The sequence below is a fragment of the Homo sapiens genome, chromosome 3 (assembly GCF_000001405.40).
Source record: "Homo sapiens chromosome 3, GRCh38.p14 Primary Assembly".
Lineage (NCBI taxonomy): Eukaryota > Metazoa > Chordata > Mammalia > Primates > Hominidae > Homo > Homo sapiens.
Window position 1 is genome coordinate 27,083,033 of NC_000003.12, and position 19,252 is coordinate 27,102,284.

The window sequence follows — 19,252 nt, forward strand, 5'->3', positions numbered from 1 at the left end:
ACTTTGATCTGTTTCTTTCTCTCCTCCCGAGATAAGCTAGCCAAGGAGACAGGGATTAGGGAAAGAGCAGTCTTACGTGGTCCTGTTGTGATCTGGCTGTAGGACCAGATAGTTCATTCTCATATGAATCATCATAAGTCATATGAATATGATACAGCAAAAGTTATCTATCACCTACTAAGTACTGTTTCAGGTACTCGAATACAAAAGCAAACAAAAGAGACATCAACCCTTGCCCCCGTAGAGCTTTCATTCTTTAGCTCAGGCCATTTCTGTGGGTTCTTAGGGACTCCCCATCATTTGAGGTAGGCAGTACCTCTCCTCCTCTACTTGCTTCCTGCCACATCAGCATCTGAAAGGGCACTTCCAGCCTTTTAGACTGTGGATGCTTAAGAGGAGGAGCTTTTCGAACTCAGCCCCAGCCCACTCCCTTCTACAGCCCGCTTTCCACAAGTTCACTTAGCCTTGCTCTTGGAAGTTTTGTGTCTTTGTGCCTTCTCCAGGAGAGTGGCACCAGCCATTCTCTTCACCTCTGGTCTTTACCAGACGGAAATTACATGCCAAGGCTTCTGTTGTACAAATTACAGGTGGTGTATACCAAGGCCTTTGAGGAGACACTTTGAAACCCCATCACTTGGCTTGAGGTGAGAGGATGCACTCTCCTCCTGATTCCTATGGAGAATGCAGAGAAGAAGTCTATTTTGTCAAAAAAAAAAAAATCTCCTCTCCAGGCCTCATCAACTTTTACCTTTTCATGGACTATGTATCTGCAATGACCAATGCTAACCACATGTGGCTTTTGAGTATTGAAAACATGATTAATCCAAATTGAGATGTGTTGTAAATTTACAGACCAGATTTCAAAGACTTGGTGTGAAAAAAATATAAAACCCAAAAGTAAAATATCTTCTTAATTTTTATATTGGCTACATGTTAAAATAATCATAATTTGATATATTGAATCAAATAAAATATATTATTATAACTAATTATGTTTAAAAACACTAACAATAACAAAAGAACCACAAATTACCTACATGGCTCACATATTTCTATCAGGTGTCACTGTTGTGGATGAACAATCTAATATGCGAAAGGAACCAGTTTCACAGCCTGTCTTGCATGTACGGCCTGAAATCTCTACTGAGAGCTTGCAGTATTGAACATCTATTACATTATATTGTTTTAGGGCTTTGGGGGCTCAGACTTCACAGAAAATTGAATTGTTACATCATTTTATATATGTGTTTCTCTGAATAGAACTGCAATAGTTTTCTTTAGATTCTTTATAGGTCTATCATCAGATTTTTTTATGAGCCTGTCATTCTTTCTCAAAAAAATTAATAATTTGTGTTTAGTATATTCCTAATATATTGTTGGATCTAATGCATCAGAGACCATTAAAACCTAGGATACAAGAGAAACACAGCAGGTTCTTGGTCTACAAACCCAGTAGTATTCCCAAGAGTTTTAAGAAATGCAACTAAGCAGTTGCCTGCCATCCATATATGGCACTCTAGGACTGAGACTCAATTTTTTTCTCCCTTACATGGTGTATTTTAGTATTTTACTATTTTCAGATACTAGATATCATTTCTTTTTAATTATACTTTGTTATTTTTGCCTCTAAAAATGTAACTCCATTAATTAATTAATCCCCAAAGAAACAGAAACACAAGAAGTAAAAAGAAATATGAAAAAGAAAAGAAAGGTAGTATCATCCATAACCCTTAGTCTTAGTGAATCTGGATTCATTTGGGGGATCTTCCTTTTGTTTTTTTTTTGTAGCCTTGAGTAAGACATTTGACCTCTCTGAGCCTGTTTTCTCATCTGTAAAATGTGCATAACTATGCTATATAAAAAATGTTTTTGAGAATTAAGAGAAATAATTAATTGGAAGAATTTTAGGCATGTTATCTTGTTTTTCTAATCCTATCAACCAAACATAAACACTGGTAATATTTTTGTATATTTTCTTCCAAGTATTTTTCCAATGCATAAAAATTTGATTGTAGTAAACAAAATATAGACATAATTTTAGTATGTTTTTCCAAATTACTAATATGAAGTAATTTTAGACTTACAAAAAAATGTAAAAATAGGAGTTTCTGTATATCATGCATCTAGCTTCCCTATTGTAACATCTTAAGTAACCATAGTAAATTATCAAAACTACAAATTAACATTTATGCAATACTTTAAATTACAGGCTTTATTTGGATTTCACCAGGCTTTTGACTAATGTATTTTATAATTGATAAATGTCTTGTGGCGGATACTTTGGTACTATGTAAATATCCTATTTCTCCTCAAACTTCTTCCATTAATTTTTGCATCCATTGGTGCCTCTTTCCTTACCTGCACCATTGTTAATAAGGCATTCTACTTGTGATTTTCTATTTCCTTCATTTTTTCTGCATGTTTTCATTGGAATTGCTCTGTAAGGAAGAGCCGCCCCTTCTCCCCTTCTCCTACTTTTGTTCATTTAGATATTATTGTATCACTATGGAGTCATGGATCTGGCATTTTATTATCTACTCATGTTAATTATTTTGCTTTTCAGATTGTTTCAGCTCTTGCCCATGGGTGTTTGTTTACTTTGGCTCCTGTGCCCTTTTAATACATCCTCATCCTTTTTGAACACAGTCTTACTATATTCTTGTCTCCTCCCAGGAGCACATGTGTTTTGCTTTGTTTTCTTCTATTCCCTTCCCGCAGATACAGTGGGTTTTCACCAGTGCCCCATGGCAATGATTTCTGTTCTTCCTCCTCCAGGCTAAGGGTTTTGCTCCATAGCAAAGACAGAGAGCAGTGTTTAAGGGTTTTGTGCCTGTCCTGTAGTCACTGCTTTTTATCTTCCCTAACTAGCACTAGGCTGGAAGTTTTCTCAGGACTCTTCTCTGTGTTTCCTGTGAGTGCCTGGTGTGTTTCGAAAAGAAAAGTCTGTAAGAGAATATAAAATCTCACTATGGCTGCAGCCCCAGGAGTTTCATACTGTCCCAGCAGCCCATATTTGGCCTCCACCAATTTGTCAACAATTCCAGCTGAAGTCTTCTTGCTGGAGTCTAGTGCTAAGCTCCCTGCAGGGGCCTGCCTATCTCCAGATTTTAGGCTAATTTGTTGCCCTATAACTTTAGTCATCTGACAGGTTTAAGAAAAGTTGAGAATTTGTATTCACTGTCTTTACCATTGCTGGAAGCGTTGGAGTGATGCTCTTTCCAACTCTATATTCTGAGTAGAACCCAGGAGACCCAGAAGGGCTAGGAGCTTACATTCGCTCTTCTTGGCAAGTTTTCTGCCTCCCTGGGTCATGGGCCCAAACCTCATTAGCCTAACCTTCTTGCTTAGTAATCATCCTAAAAACATGCAGAACTCCCCAAGTGCTATTAAGCTTAGCTTTTTATAATTACACATTTGGTTAACCTTTAGACCTCTCTGTTATTCTTCAATAGCTGCTTCTTGCTATTCTGGTTGAAATCCAGGGATCTTAGAATAGCATTACAAGTTCTTAGTGAAGATGCTGGTAAAAACAGGGATTTAGAGAAAACTGCTGATGCATCCCAGCCATGCCAGAATAGAGCAAGGGGCTGGTCAGAGAAGGAGAAGTCAATCTAAAACACTTGTGTTTGATCAGTATTGGGTGCCTGCTATGTGACAGGTACATGCCAGGCAAGGACACGAATTAGAATGACGTGAGTCTTGCCTCTACTACATCACAGTCCAACACATAAACAATTTTAATAAACTGTTATAAATACTATACCAGAGATATGTACAAATGTTATAAGAAAATATACAGGGAAGCAATTATTTTTCTTGGGGCATTCTCAGACAGCGGAGAAAAGGGAAAGCAGACCCTGAGATAAGAATCTGAGGGCAAATAATTTCTTTTGGAAATAATTCCCAAGAAATACCAGCGGGAAAGTGGGCAGAAGGAAAGGAAAAGAAAGGACACTAATAAAGGGCATGTTACCAAGGGGACCAATCTTGCTGCAGAGCCTGGGGGCCAGTGTACAACAGACACTTTAGAGTTATTCTGTCCAAAAGCAATCCTACTGGTTACGGATGAGAATTGCTGAGGCCAGGGAGCCAGATATTAAGTGAATTCTCCTGTGCTTGCAGTGAGCCTTGCACAGGCAAAATGGACTCTGTGACAATAGAGGGCTCCAAAGCACAGTCACAGGGACTGGCAGTTGGAAGTCAGGTTGACATGCACAGAAAAAGGAGTCAAGGGGACATGGGTGGACTTCTGACAGCAGTAGCTACATCATGTGTCACTTGAATTGAGCATTGAAGGATGAGTGGCATCAAAGAGAGAAGTAGGAGACATCAGGCAGAGGGACCAGCAGGAGCAGAGGATGAGAGACAATCATGTCACAATGTGGTCAAGAGAAGATGCATAGTTTAGAGAGGAGAGAACATTCAGAAAGGGGGTAAACAAGCCAGATGTGGAGGGTTTGATAATTATTCTGTGGGCAACAGGAACCATCAGAAAGGAGCAAGTGGGGAGAGATGAACAACTGAAGAATGAGAGGGGAGAGTCTGGTCAAGAACATGTTGTGATAATGTGTCTTTCTCTCTACCTTTCTTGACAGTGGCTTGGGTGAGAGTGGTAGAGGTGGACAAGATGATCCGACATTGGATCCTGGATATATTTTGAAGGTAAAGGCAACAGGATTTGTTCAAGATATGAGGAATGTGGGATATGAGGGAAAGAAAAGGACAAGATAATCAAAAAGCTAAAAGTTTGGGAAACTGAAAGAAGGGAGTTGACATTTACTGAGGTGGGAAAGACTGAGAGGAGAAGGTTTGAGAGCCAGAAAAGCAGGACAACTACAGGACATGGAATATTAGAGATACAAAGTAAACCTTGACATGAAGCTAGTCAGTTGCATAGAGGAGCTTTGAGCACAGAAGAGAGCCCAGGCTAGCTACAAATTTGGGAGTCATCAGTACATGGGCTTTGGATGGTATTTAAAGGAGGATGTGAGTGTAGATGGAAAAGAGAAATCACTGCAGTCCCCGGGAACTCCATATTTAGAAGTTCTAAGAACAAGGAAGAGTTGGAAAATGAGGTGGAAAAAGAGTGAACAAGCAGGTAGGAAGCAAATCAGAAGATCATAGAATCCCAGAATCCAAATGAAAGAAATGTTTCAAGCATGAAAGAGTGATTCACATGAAACAGTCACCAGATTTAGCAGCATGGAGATCACTGGTGACTTTGACAAGAACAGTTTTGTTGATGTAATAGAGATGAGAACCCAAGTGGAGTGGGTTTAAGAAATAATGGGAGGAGAGAGCATAGATACTGTGACTACAGAAAACTTTCTGAAGAAGTTTTGCCATAAAAGGAAAATGATATGGAGGCTGGACAGTGAGTGGAATTAAAATACATTTTTAATAATTTTTTTAAAGAGGGAAGACATCATAGCATGTTTATATGTATGGGAAGAGAGGGAAAACTAATGATGGAGGACAGAGAGAAGACAGTTCCCTGGAGCAGCATATTTGAATTAATGAGAAGAGATGTATCTAGTAGATAAGGAAGGGGTTGGTTTTAAGAGGAAGGCTGGTTTGACCCTGGGAGCAGGAGGATAGGTAGAGTGATGGGCACTGATGCAAGAATTTAGGAAGATATGCTAGCGAGAACTGGTGAACATTCTCTTCTGGTTGTTTCTGGTTGCTTAGTGAAAGAGTAAGCAAGGTCATCAGCAAAGATTGGGGGTGGGGGAGAAGGTATTACAAGTTTGAAAAGAATGAAATTAAGTGATAATAAAAATCAAATAATGAATAACAGGAGGTTATGAGAGTAAAGGGCCTAGAGCAACATAGTGGTACTGCTAGGCTGCACCAAGAGCCCATTTGACATTCATAAGACCAGCTAGCAGGTTCTGGCCAGGCTCAGCTACATTGGTAGAAGTGTGGTATAGGGTGAAAGTTTGTTGTAATTAAGGTAGGAGTTTCCCAGATTATAAACTTTAGCATGAATGCAAGGAAGTAATTATAATGATGAACTATAGAATCTTTGTTGGATAGAAATAAGGCTACAAGGGATGTAAGGGATGGTGGAAATTGACAGGATCAATTGACCACAGGACCAATGAGGTGAAGGAAATGTTGAAAATGGGGTGTGTTTAACACCATTCCAAAATTCAATGGCTTAAAACAACTACAATTATTCTTTCTCAGTTAGTTACAGTTCAACCTAAACTGATTCATTTAGGTTGGGCTGGGCTGGGCTTGCCTCCAAGCTGCAAACTAAGCCAGATTTGCTTCACGTGTCCCTCATTCCCCTTAGAATACCAGACTTGTCTGAGTACTTTTTTTTTCATGGAAACAGCAAACTTATAAGGTGCAAGTCCCATCACACAAGTACATGCCAAACCACTGCTTGCAGCATGTCCTGTTAATATCCATCGGCCAAAATAAGTCACATAGTAGAGAAAACAACAATGAGACTAAGAAGCTATAAGTACAAAGATCCACCCAAGTATATGTCACATCCCATCAAGTTGGCAGTCTCAGGAAGTTGCACACATTATTTTTGCCTAGGGTCAACCCGCCCTTAGAATGAGTGTTGAAAAGGAAAACATTCCCCTTGGAAACTGGGCCAAGCTTGAGAATTCTCAGGTATTTTTTATATTACTTCTCTGTATATAACATAATGACTTCCCTGCCCAGTAAGAAATCCTAGATTGACAGCTGTGACTTTTCTAAGAATAATATATGTAGAACAAAGGGAAGGAAAAGCAACTGGGCCCTGGAACCCAAATCCAGAACATGACATCATAGTCAGGAGGGAATGTGTGTGTGTGTGAAGAGCAGCAGCCCATGCAGGGATGCACTGCATATCCCTTGAGGTGCCACTCACAAAGATTACTGTGCAAATGGAGCCTCTGACAAGGATGCACTCACAGTTTCCCTGAATATGGGTGGGGAATAAATAGGGGTTCTAGGAAAAGTAAACATAAACTGCAGCCTATTCTTCTTTCCCATGAGACCACCTCGTGTATAACCAGCATAGTGCTTCACAACAGTAGTTATAATAATGCCTGCAAGTGACACCAGTAGGTCACTTTCAGCTTGCATAAAGTTTTTCAGTCCATTACTGTATTTTTTCCTTATAATAACCATTTTAGTGATGAAAAACAAAGTTAGGGGTAGGAAGATGGGAAAACAAAGCAAATAGTAGCAGAGCTGGGACTAAATGCAGGCCTGTATATTTCCAAAGCCCAAGCACTTACCGGTATGCCATGATTTCTTCAACAGCCTCTCTTCATTTTAATGAAAATTCACCAACAAACACTGACAACTTAACCAAATAGGCCAAGTACCCTGGGCAAGCTCCTATCTCAAGGCCGGAAAGCAGTGGAGCTCAGACAAGAAGTAGCCTGGACAGCTTTCCTACCTTCCGGCTTGCCTACTCCCCTCTCCCGGGAAATGCACTCAGACAAGCAACTACATCTGTAGGAGCAATCACATGGTTAACCCAGTGACAGCTGCTGTAATACATTCCCAACTCATCAAAGTTCTAACAAACAGTTTGTCTGCAAGAATTCAAGAAGAAGCATGTATGTTCTTTAGGCAAAGGACTTTTTTATAAAAGCAAGAAAAGAAATGATTCCTCAAGTAGATCCTAATGAAATAAGACGTCTCTCTGTGTATATGGGTTTGTTTTTTTTTTTTTTTAAAGAAAAAGAAGGTTCTCTCTAGTCTAAATAAACCTTGATGGCTCCCCAGAAGTTACAGCAGCCTGTTGAATAAACAGACAGCATTTACATTAACATTTCTTTAGTTCTGTTTGCATGCAGTGGTTTTTCTTACTAAAAATAAAAAACAATTCCGGCCCCATGATGCAATCCTTGGCTTCAGGAGCCTATGCTTCCTTTATTCTGTCAACTGGATTTTAGAGAGAAATTGGTATAAGTAAAGGTGGACTTAGGTGCACCTAAAGTAGCACTTCTCAAACTTTAACATGCATAATAATTATCTGGGAGGGGGTCTTAAAATGCAGATTTTGATTCTGATTCCATAGGTCTGGAGTACAGCCCAAAGTTCCGCGTTTCTAACAAGCTCACAGGTGATGCCATTTCTGCTGATCCGTGGACCTAACTAGGAGTAGCAATCATCTAAAATTTAGACTCTAGTGGATTCCGCATGGGTGTTCTTCAGGATAGGCCCTTATTTCTGGAGTCTTCTCTTTCTTTCCACTTTCATGCACATTGTTAGAGTCTACTCTCACCAATGCACTAGCAATTCCAAAATCTTCGTATCCAGTCCAAAACTTGGACTCTTCACCTGGGTGTCTCTCAACTTGACAGGCCCAAAATTGTGCCCATCATCCTCCTCACCACCTCTTATATTTGCGCTCTTGTTTGTTATTGTCTAATGTCCAATGGAACCACCACCCATATAAATGTTCAAGCCACACATTCATAAATCAACCCAAATTCCTTCCTTTACTTCTTTTTCATCACTTCAAATTTATTAAGGTATCATTTATGTATTACAGAATGCACCTATTTGAAGAGTTTATACTTCAGTAAATTTTGACAGCCGTATACATTTATGTTACCACACCACAATCAAAACATAGAAGATGGTCATCGTTCCAAAAGATTATCTCAATCCCATCCCATCCAAGGCCCCTAATAACCACTAATCTATTTTCTTTCACCATAGTTTTGCCTTTTCTAGAATTTCATGTAAATGGACTCTTGTGTCTGGCTTCTTTCACTTAGCACAATGCTTTTGAGATTTGCCTGGGCATGCATCAGTAGCTCAGTCATTTATATTGCTGTATAGCATTTCATTATATAAATTCTCTTACTTAGTCTCTGACTGGCTGGGAAGTCACCTTTTCCACTGGCGTGGAAGAGAAAAAAGCCAACAGAACTTGTCCCACTAGGATTAAGTGCAGTGCCAGGTTATCCCACACAGAGAAAAGAAAGCCGAGCTTATATACAAAATCAACTAGGTTTTTTCAAGCAGAATCTTTGATATTATTAATATTAAGTGTATACATACATATATTATTAATATTAGGTATATATAAAGATTATTAATATTAGGTGTATATAACACATATACACCTAATATAATTAATATTAATAATATTAAAGATTATATTTGCCTTCGAGTAAATATACGTAAACACATATGTTTTAGGGCCATAAGAAGTGGTTAACAAGTGAAGATACCAGATAAATGTCCCCCACACTTTTCTGTTTTACATTTTAGCTTTTCTCTCTGCATTGTGAAAAGAGATGGAGGCTACTTTAGACAAAATGCCCAGCATATATCAGGTTATGAAGGGGGTCCTGAGGAACTTAGGGCTTAGACCTAGTGCTATATAGCAGAAGCATAGCAGACTGCTTCAGGCCCTGGCTAAAGAGAAACCTGAAACAGAAATAACTTAACTTGCCACATTCCATCCATGGCAGCCTCCATCACCCGAGAAGAGGCAGCTACCAAACCCTGGGCTATTAAAGGCTGGATTTGATTATTTACTCTTGGTGTCATGACAAACTCATAAAAGATATAACACAAGCCCCCCAGTCAAACCACACTGGTTATCTCCAAGCTGGCTCCACAGGCTGACTTTTGAATGAAGGTGTTTTTATAAGGATGTGGTGTACGCTGAGCCAAAGGACAAAACCATTGGAAGATAGTTCATCTCTCAGTCCTTGTTTTCAGCAATTGCTAGGGCTGCAAATTTGGAGCTCGATAATGGAGTGTGCCCCACTGTCAAGTTCCATTAGATGGTCTGTGTGGTCTTGAAGTCTCGGGCTCTGTGAGTATAGTTTTGTAGATGATAGGCAAGAGAAACTATGGAAAGGGCAACCCCTCTGTATCAGCTGTTATCACAATAATAATCATCATCACTGGCCATCAGAGAAATGCAAATCAAAACCACTATGAGATATCATCTCACACCAGTTAGAATGGCAATCATTAAAAAGTCAGGAAACAACAGGTGCTGGAGAGGATGCGGAGAAATAGGAACACTTTTACACTGTTGGTGGGACTGTAAACTAGTTCAACCATTGTGGAAGTCAGTGTGGCGATTCCTCAGGGATCTAGAACTAGAAATACCATTTGACCCAGCCATCCCATTACTGGGTATATACCCAAATGAGTATAAATCATGCTGCTATAAAGACACATGCACACGTATGTTTATTGCGGCACTATTCACAATAGCAAAGACTTGGAACCAACCCAAATGTCCAACAATGATAGACTGGATTAAGAAAATGTGGCACATATACACCATGGAATACTATGCAGCCATAAAAAATGATGAGTTCATATCCTTTGTAGGGACATGGATGAAATTGGAAACCATCATTCTCAGTAAACTATCGCAAGAACAAAAAACCAAACACCGCATATTCTCACTCATAGGTGGGAATTGAACAATGAGATCACATGGACACAGGAAGGGGAATATCACACTCTGGGGACTGTGGTGGGGTTGGGGGAGGGGGGAGGGATAGTATTGGGAGATATACCTAATGCTAGATGACACATTAGTGGTGCAGCGCACCAGCATGGCACATGTATACATATGTAACTAACCTGCACAATGTGCACATGTACCCTAAAACTTAGAGTATAATAAAAAAAATAAAATAAAATAAAATAAAAAATAAAAGAAAAAAAAAAAAAAAAAAAAAAAAAAAAAAAAAAAAAAGAGCTCCTCTATGTAGAAGTGGAAAAAATATGGGAATGGCTACCAAAATCCCTTTGGAAGACTGAAAAATCCTTTAATCTAGTAATTTTTAATCTTCAGACTATTTCTTAACGGGATGTAAAGATATAAGCAATGATAATGATGTTAGAGCCTAGTGTTCCATGCAATGGGAAACAACCTAAATGTTATTTAAGACAGGAAATAACCCAAATGTCTCTCAACAAGGACTGATTAAACAAATAATTATATGATGATGCAATGAAATGTTGCTCAACTATTGAAACATAATAATGTAGATCAAGGGTTAGAAACATTTTCTGCAAAGGGCCAATAGTAAATATTTTAGCCTTCATGAGTAAGGTTATCTCCGTTGCAGCTATTCATCTCTGCCATTCTAGCTCAAAAGCAGCCAGATATCATACATAAATGAATAGACATGGCTGTGTTCCATTTGAACTTTATTTACAAAAACAGGCATTGGTCAGGATTTGGCCCTTGGACCATCATTTGCTGAAACCTGGTATAGATGATGTTCTCCTTGACATATAAAGATGCCCACATTATATTGATTAGTGAAAAAAAAATCACATTAGGAAGCATATAGTATCCTTAAAGAATAATAGCAACATATAAGCCTGGAAAAAGTCCTAAATGGCAGGGTTGTGTTTTACATTTTTTCTTCTTTGTGCATGTATTCTTTTCCTTCCCAGGGGAAGGGGAATACAGAAGAGAAAATGGGTTTTAACTTTAAAAAAAAAGTGATTGTACCAGAGAAAGAAGTTGTCCTAATGTAGAGATAACAATGGCACTCTTATTAAATAAAATCTTCCAGTATTTTGCCACTGTCAATCAACTCAGAAGCTGAAAATACCACATTGTCACCAGCCACAGTAAAAAGCTAAATTGCATTCATGGAACAAGTCCAACTCAAGCCATTTTTTAATTCAAGTATGACTTTTTCAATTTATCCTTCCAAATTCAGCCTGAGGGCTCCCCCCAATCTGTGATTCTTTCACTAGTCCGAAGTGGTGTGACATTTGACAAGTTTTTGACCCTGCAGAGTGAAGCCTTAGAATTCTTCTCTCTGAGCCCTTTCTGCAATAAAAGTTCACAATTTGGTGACTCTTTGTGGAGGGACCTTTAACTGTTGACAGAGAGTAGTTTCTGCCCCAGGATGCCTATTAAAGTTATAATGGTTATCACAGTTAGGACGTTGAAACTGTGGTCAGCTGCTGCCTATTCAGGAAGTTGTTGTGTGTCGTGGGTTGTTTCCTAAAGCCTGTTCCATTGTGGTCATGGGACGTGCACATTTTCTATTCATAACCTCAGCTAAGCTCAAGTTGACAGCAGTTTAAATGGAAATGGTGTGCCAGCTGAACAAGAACTATACTTTTCTCACTTGCTATCTAAGTTGGAAAGAGAGCCCACTCCAGAGAGAACAAATGAAATTTAATATATTATGGGGTTGGACTTAGGAGCAAAGCCAAAGTTGTTTAAGGTGATGTTCTCTTAACATAAAATTTGACTTTCAAAGATATAGCTCCAACTCGACATATCTGAGGAACAAGAAGTCTCTACAATTCCTGTCTGGGACTATGGAGTCTATGGTCTAGACAAGAAAGCAGCAAAGAGAGGCATTTGGCAGAGAGGCGGGGAGATAACTAATGCATGAGCATTCCATCATTTCCAGTGAGTTTTTGTTAAGGGAAAATTGTTCATTAAATGGAGAGCCAGAGTTCTGGGGTAGGAATGACAGCCCTAACATTTTCAGCAGGCATTTTTATCCCCCATCTCCTGATCCCAGCCTCTTCTTTGGGCCTCTTGGGGACCTCTAATGAGCTCTCCACAAGGCAAGATTCCTATTATCAAAAGAGAACGGGCTCACAGCTGACCTTTGTGAAATAATTTACCTTTTACCTGCTGTGTTCCTTCTTTAGAGAACAAACCACACCACACATTATGCTGTGAGCTAAAAATGGAACTTTCTGAGAGTACAACAGAGTGTTTGCTTTGTCCAGTAAGAAATCTGTGTTGGCAAAGAAATCAAGCCAGAAACATTCAGCAGAAAAAAAAAAAAATAGGGGGAAGAGGTTTTGTCTCTAGTGTGGTATTCTAGTACTTCCTCTTTTCACGTTTTGAGTTTCTTTGGCATTGTTGAGAATCTACACAGACATGAAATGCCATAAAAGGTCTTGATATCCAGTAGGGTTGGGGATGTACATTCCTTGTTATACCAAAATTGCCAGTAATTGGGCATTGTGTGTGTATGTGACTACAAAGCCATGCTTCTGTTGAGAACATTGAAAAACTATGGGTGTGGTTCAAAAAGAACAGGCTTTAACAGGCAATTGGAATGCTAGTCTGAAGTTGGCTCTCTTATTCCCTTAGCAAGAGGCAGGGGAAATGGGTCAAAGTCCATTGGGATGGGTAATGAGGGGACAACACCAGGGAAGACTCATTGGCAAAGGCTAAAGCATTTGACCCATTAACTGTCATTTACCAGTAACTCCATCAACATTATACTTCTCTTTTCTATCTAAACTGAAACGATTATTCAAAGCTTTTATTCAGATTTTCATTCATTTAACGTTCAACAAATACTTCCTGAGTTTCTATAGTCCTTGCTACCCAAATTCTGGTTCATAAAACATCAGCATGCACATCATCTGGGAGCGTGTTAAAATGCAGAATCTCAGGCCCAATCCCAGCCCTACTGAATCAGAATATGCATTTTAATAAGATCCACAGGAATTTGTATACATACTCAAGTTTCAGAAGCACTAAATTATGTGATTGATATTCATTGTATGAATAAATGAGTGAATGAACACCATTAGTTCACTAGAGGCTCCCCATCAGGATACTCCGGTTTTGCTGTGTTTACACAGGAGAATTCCCACCCCAACTCACCAACATCACCCAGTGCCATAGATCATGTAAGCAGGCTTGGTGCCATTTTACACTGGGACCTCAGAAACACATGGGTACAGAATTGAGGTGAGTGAACAGGAAAAGTGGGACCTTTGTGAACTGAAAGAGTGAGGGTTGCTGCCCAAATTTCATGTTGAAAACTTGGGCTTGATCTGGGTGAGCCATTTGCAAGGAGTTACAGCAGGCTAGGTTTTAGATTCTAGAAGGTAAGTTTGTTTTGGATTCAACCAAATGGGTTGGAGTCAAAGGCCAGACCAGGATTTGGGTTACAATCAGGCAGGTAACCCCTGAAAGAAGGTTAGAGGACAGGCTAACACAGGGACCTATGTGGATGTTCAGGGATCTGTGTGACATACCTGACTTAGCCCAGCAGGAGTAATGCAAGATCTTAACAGTTGCAAGAGGTGGGAGAAGTTTTGTGTGGCTCTGAGTTGGCCAGCAATATACTGCTGGCTGCCCTAATTAAGATGGGCCCAAAGTTTGAAGGACTGAGCCTGTAGGTTAGTAATCGATGGTGCAGACTGAGGAGAGGAGTTTAGAGAAAAGCTGGAGCATGCTTTCACCCAGAAGGAGGAGGGTGGTGAAGAGAAATAATGGCATCCCTGCACAGAAACAACATCCCTTTTGAGCTGAGTTTTGTAAAACTGAAAAACAGGGAGTTAACAGGTGTTACAGCAGCAAAGCTGGAAACTGACCACAGGGCATTTGCATATTCTTGCAGCTCGTTTAGTGTTACTATTCTGTCCACCCTTACTCAGTGGGCTCTGTGACAAATGAAACACAAGAGCTATGCAGATATTATTCATTTTTTCCCAGACTTCCTAGCCTGCCTTGATTATGCTTCTCTGCTGATATGTTTTGCTTAAGCAATGGTTTATCTCAGTACTTTTAAGCTAACTGAGGTGATGGAAGAGGAAGGCAGGAGCAATTGGTCAGGAGTCCCAGCCAATGATCAGATACAAATGCTTTCTTGTAAGACTAAGCCAAGTTCATAAACATCTGCTTTTCATCTACCAAAAACCTAGTTCCTCATTATCCTTAGACTCATCATTTCCCCCAACAGCATCCTCACAGTGTTGTTCCTTCCCACTCTCAAACCATGGTGTTCCAGGGCTCCTCCGATCTGGGCTCCAGGGATGGACACTGCATTCCCTTGGCCAGTGATTGGCTCAGGTTTGGCCCATGACACAGGCAATTGGCATATCCCATTATACCATCTTCTCCCAGCTAAAGCACTGAGTCTGTTACTCACTTTGGCCTATTAAGACTTGATTCTGGAACTTCCGTCAAACTGATAAGGGAATCTTCTGATGGCCTGGAAAGGGTTTCATCTCAGTGTTCCTGGGAACTATCGTGGGAAGAAGGGAACCTACTTGAGAGTAAGGCCATGATGGAGGAGAGCAAAGGCCAAAAATGAAAGCAGAAAGAGGCAGGGGACAGTAGAAAGAGAGAGAGAGAGAGACCTGTTGATATCTTCTTGCATTTAGCAATGCCTCAAGCTCGTCCTTTTGTGGACAATTATCATTTCAATTATAAAAGCCAATAAATTCCCTTTTACTTATTGAACCAGTTGGCATTCTATCTCTCGCAACTAAGAATTGAACAGGATGCTAGAGTATCAGCAGTCCTCTGACACTGTCGCACTGAAACAGACATCTTCAGAGCTGGACATCCGCAACAGAGGAGGCAATGCTGGCTGGGTCATTTTTTAAATGAGGAAAATGAGACAAAAAAAGTCAGCAAGTGCATTCCCTCATCTTTGGGAAATTACAGCTTAATAAAACTCATTGTTTCTATTTATTTGTTTCTTTGGTCAGCACATTGAACTTATCATTTCTCATGTTAGTCACCACCTTTAATTTACATTTAATCATATGATACTACATTTAATCATATGATAATACAATAGAAAGCACTACTATCTTAGAAAACTGAGGTTCAGAGTGGTTTAAGTCATTCACCTTAGGTCAAACGGCCAGTATATCTCTCACTTTGTCTCTGAAAGGAAATGCTTCAGTCCATTGACTTTTTTTCTTTCAGTCCATTGAGTTTAAGAGTCAAAATGCCTGACTGATTCTTGAGCCACTTAATTAGTAATATTACTTGAGCTCTCATTATATATCAAGAGTTGACATGAGCAGAGTTACCAAAGCACTTTGTGGAAAGTTGGGTCCAAATGAAAACATAAAAAAGCCTGGGTTGTGAGTAGTCTGGGGAGGCTCAGGCTCTAGTAGTAAAATAATTATTTAAATGCTATGTAGGCACCAGGTGCGGTGGCTCAAGCCTGTAATCCCAGCACTTTGGGAGGCCGAGGCGGGTGGATCACCTGATGTTAGGAGTTTGAGACCAGCCTGGCCAACATGGTGAAACCCCATCTCTACTAAAAATATAAAAATTAGCCAGGTGTGGTGATGGGTGCCTGTAATCCCAGCTACTCGGGAGGCTGAGGCAGGAGAATCACTTGAACCAGGGAGGTGGAGATTGCAGTGAGCCGAGATTGCATGCACTCCAGCCTGGGCAACAAGAGTGAAACTCTGTCTCCAAAAAAAAAAAAAAAAAAAAAATCCTATGTAGGCTACATTTCTGCTTTTGAAAAGAATTAATAGAGCATTTTTTCCTTACAACTATTTATAATCGTACGCATCAATGACACGCACAAAATGGCCACTAAGAGTAAGAGGCAAGGCAATAAGGCCCATATAGAATGTTTAAATCCCATAATTTTAATAATCTTATCTCTACGATATAAACAGGGTTTTGCTTAGTGTAAATGGGGAAAAAAAGCATGGGTATTGGAGCAATGTAAAATCTAGGTTCTTTTCCTTGCATTCTGCCTTTTTTTGTTTTTTACAACTAGCTGTTGTCTTCTTAATGCCTCTGAACCTCAGTTTTAAAAATATCTACAATAGTGTTAGTTATAACCCTTCAGAGTGGCTGTTATAATGAATAAATAAGGTGCCTTGCACAGTGCGTACCACATAGTAACCATTCAACACATCTCTCCCTCTCCAGGGGAAGGTAAGAAGACTGATTTTCTGGTGAGAATTTTAGAAATTATCCTCATGAACACATGGTCCCCTGTAAATCTAGCACTCCTTTAAATTGATCCAATTAACCTCTAAGTGAACAGAACTTCTGATTTAAATATTAAGTTATTTGTCAAACTCTTATTTGTGTGTTTGTTTTTAAAACTCTATATAGCTCCATAAAGCTTTTTAAATACTAGTTAAAGATGAAAGCAGAATTTTATTTTAAAGTTAGCAATTCATCTGTATTGTTTCTGAGGGAAATAAAATTAAAATGATTGTTCTATAAATACTCCTGAGACTGGGTTATGAAATCTACAGGAGAAAACTGAGAAACAAAGTTTCCATGACATTTCATATCTCTTAAAGTATGAAATACACATTAAAATATTAAAAATGTAGAAAAGAAGACAAGCTGTAATATTAAACAATATAAACAGTATTGACTCTTGAAGTCATTGTGTTATGTAGACAGAGAGAGATATTTTTCCTATTAGAAACAGAGTTAGACAGAGATAATATATGAAGAAATGCACCCCAAATTCTAGAATGAAGAAAAAGGGGGAAAAGAAAGAAAGACTTGAGTAGTGATTTGGAAATGTGGCCAACATGAATCTTCATGCTACCTCAATTATCCAATGACAATGGCAACCAGTAGGAAATGGTTACCTCAGTTATCCAATGACAATGGTAACCAGTAGGAAATGGTTACCAATGCAAGGAAGATTATGTCCTCCTTGAAGTGTGGGGTGGGGTGTGTATGCGTGCGTGTGTTTCTCTGTGTGTGTGTGTGTGTGTGTGTGTGTGTGTGTGTGTGTGTGTGTATGTTGTGTAGGAAGCGGGGGCAGGAAGGACAAGCATAGGAAGTAGAAGAGGCCAAAGAATTTTAGCGGCAATTCTCCCACTTACTCATATCCGGAACAAAGAACACGGCCAAGTGAGAAAGCTCTTCCTCCTCACGCATGCACTTTAGGGGCAAGCAGATTTGGAATAATAACCGTGACTTTGGAATAATCTTCCCAAACTGGAGCACCTATTGTCAAATGTTAATGGCCCTACTGACAAGAACCAACCAGGCAGTTGAGATCAACAAACGTGGGATATGACAACCTTCGCTGTCATGAAAAATATTTCCAATGAAAATAGTTCCTAATGTGTGACTGATCAAAGATGGTAAGCATTTGCGTAGAATTAAGTCATTTCTTATATATTTCATACTAAAAGTTAAATGTTTGTCATGAGAATTATTTTCCTGGAAAGACAGGTGATAAAATCATCTAAAAAGTTCACAGTGGAGTTAATAATCATAATTCAAAAGCATTTTAGAAATAAATTAGCAGGTGCCAAGACACTCATTACTTTGGTTGCGGTTATTTGGAAGAAAAAAAACACTCTCGGGAGAATTGGTGAAGGACCTAAGAGAAAAGCATTCCATCTGTCTTAGAGACCAAATGAGTGTCAGCCAGCCTTTTCTTCTATCACAGACAACATGGAGGTTCCCCAAATCTGAGATGACTTTGTGGTGAATGGAGGCCAGGCAAGACCATACCTGTTTTAGGGGTCTCCCCAGTTCCTGTGACATCTTTTTTTGGAATTCTGACCCCACCTTGATCTATAGTATAACAATGAAATCACAGAGAGAGGCAGCCCCACTCCCTAAGGACAGGAAGGAAGAGCCCCCAAACCATGTGAGGAGGCTGGGGAGATGTTGTGGACTGTGACTCTATCCTTTAATTATGCCGCAGAGCTCTGCCATCCCACTGAGAGCCACACCTAACTGCTGACTGGGATAGGAAGAGGAGGCAGGGGTGTGGTCACTGCTATTGACCACTATGCCTACTTTCATCTCTGCTTAATGGTGATGCTATTGCAGGATGCACCCCAGTAGCACCAATCAATGAATTATTTCCTTTCACATGTGTATCATGAAGAGGTTGCCAATCCACACTCTTTGACACAGATATTTTGGGCTAATACTGATTAGGTTGTTCATGTTCTGAAGATGCTTCAGATGCGGTTCCTCAGAAGTGCACCCTTGGATGGATTTGTCAGGAAGTATTGCCAGGAAAACCGATAAGTGAAGTCAGATCAGGACAGGAAGGAAGCCCAGCCAGGGATGCCTCATTAGGTTCAGTCCAACAAAGGGTGCCTTTGGCTCGGTTCTGCAGGGAAACTGTGAGAGCGAAGAGTACAACTCAGAGCTGTCCTAATCAGGAGTGAGGGTGCTGGAGGATTGGTTCCCATGCACCTCTTTCTCATGGGATAGGGGCAGCCTCTGCAGGCCGTTACTATTGCCAGCAGGAAATGCTGGTTCCACCAACCTGAGGACAGTTCCCATCAAAGACAGGCAAGGCTCTGTGGCTCACACCTGTAATCCCAGCACTTTGGGAGGCCGAGGCGGGCGGATCACTTGGGGTCAGGAGTTTGAGACCAGCATGGCCAACATGGTGAAACCCCGTCTCTACTAAAAATATAAAAATTAGCCAAGTGTGGTGGCACGCACCTGTAATCCCATCTACTTGGGAGGCTGAGGCAAGAGAGTTGCTTGAACCCAGGAGGCAGAGGCTGCAGTGAACCGAGATTGTGCCACTGCACTCCA

The 19,252-nt window shown here is 40.0% G+C and overlaps 1 annotated feature.

Moving 5' to 3' along the window:
* Positions 17,174–18,373: an enhancer, noted in NCBI's record as "BRD4-independent group 4 enhancer chr3:27141697-27142896 (GRCh37/hg19 assembly coordinates)". NCBI's record gives its function as "activates an origin of replication core promoter dependent on BRD2, P300/CBP, MED14 and CDK7 cofactors, and independent of BRD4, by STARR-seq in HCT116 cells {active_cell/tissue: HCT116}" and the evidence as "EXISTENCE:reporter gene assay evidence [ECO:0000049][PMID:35650434]".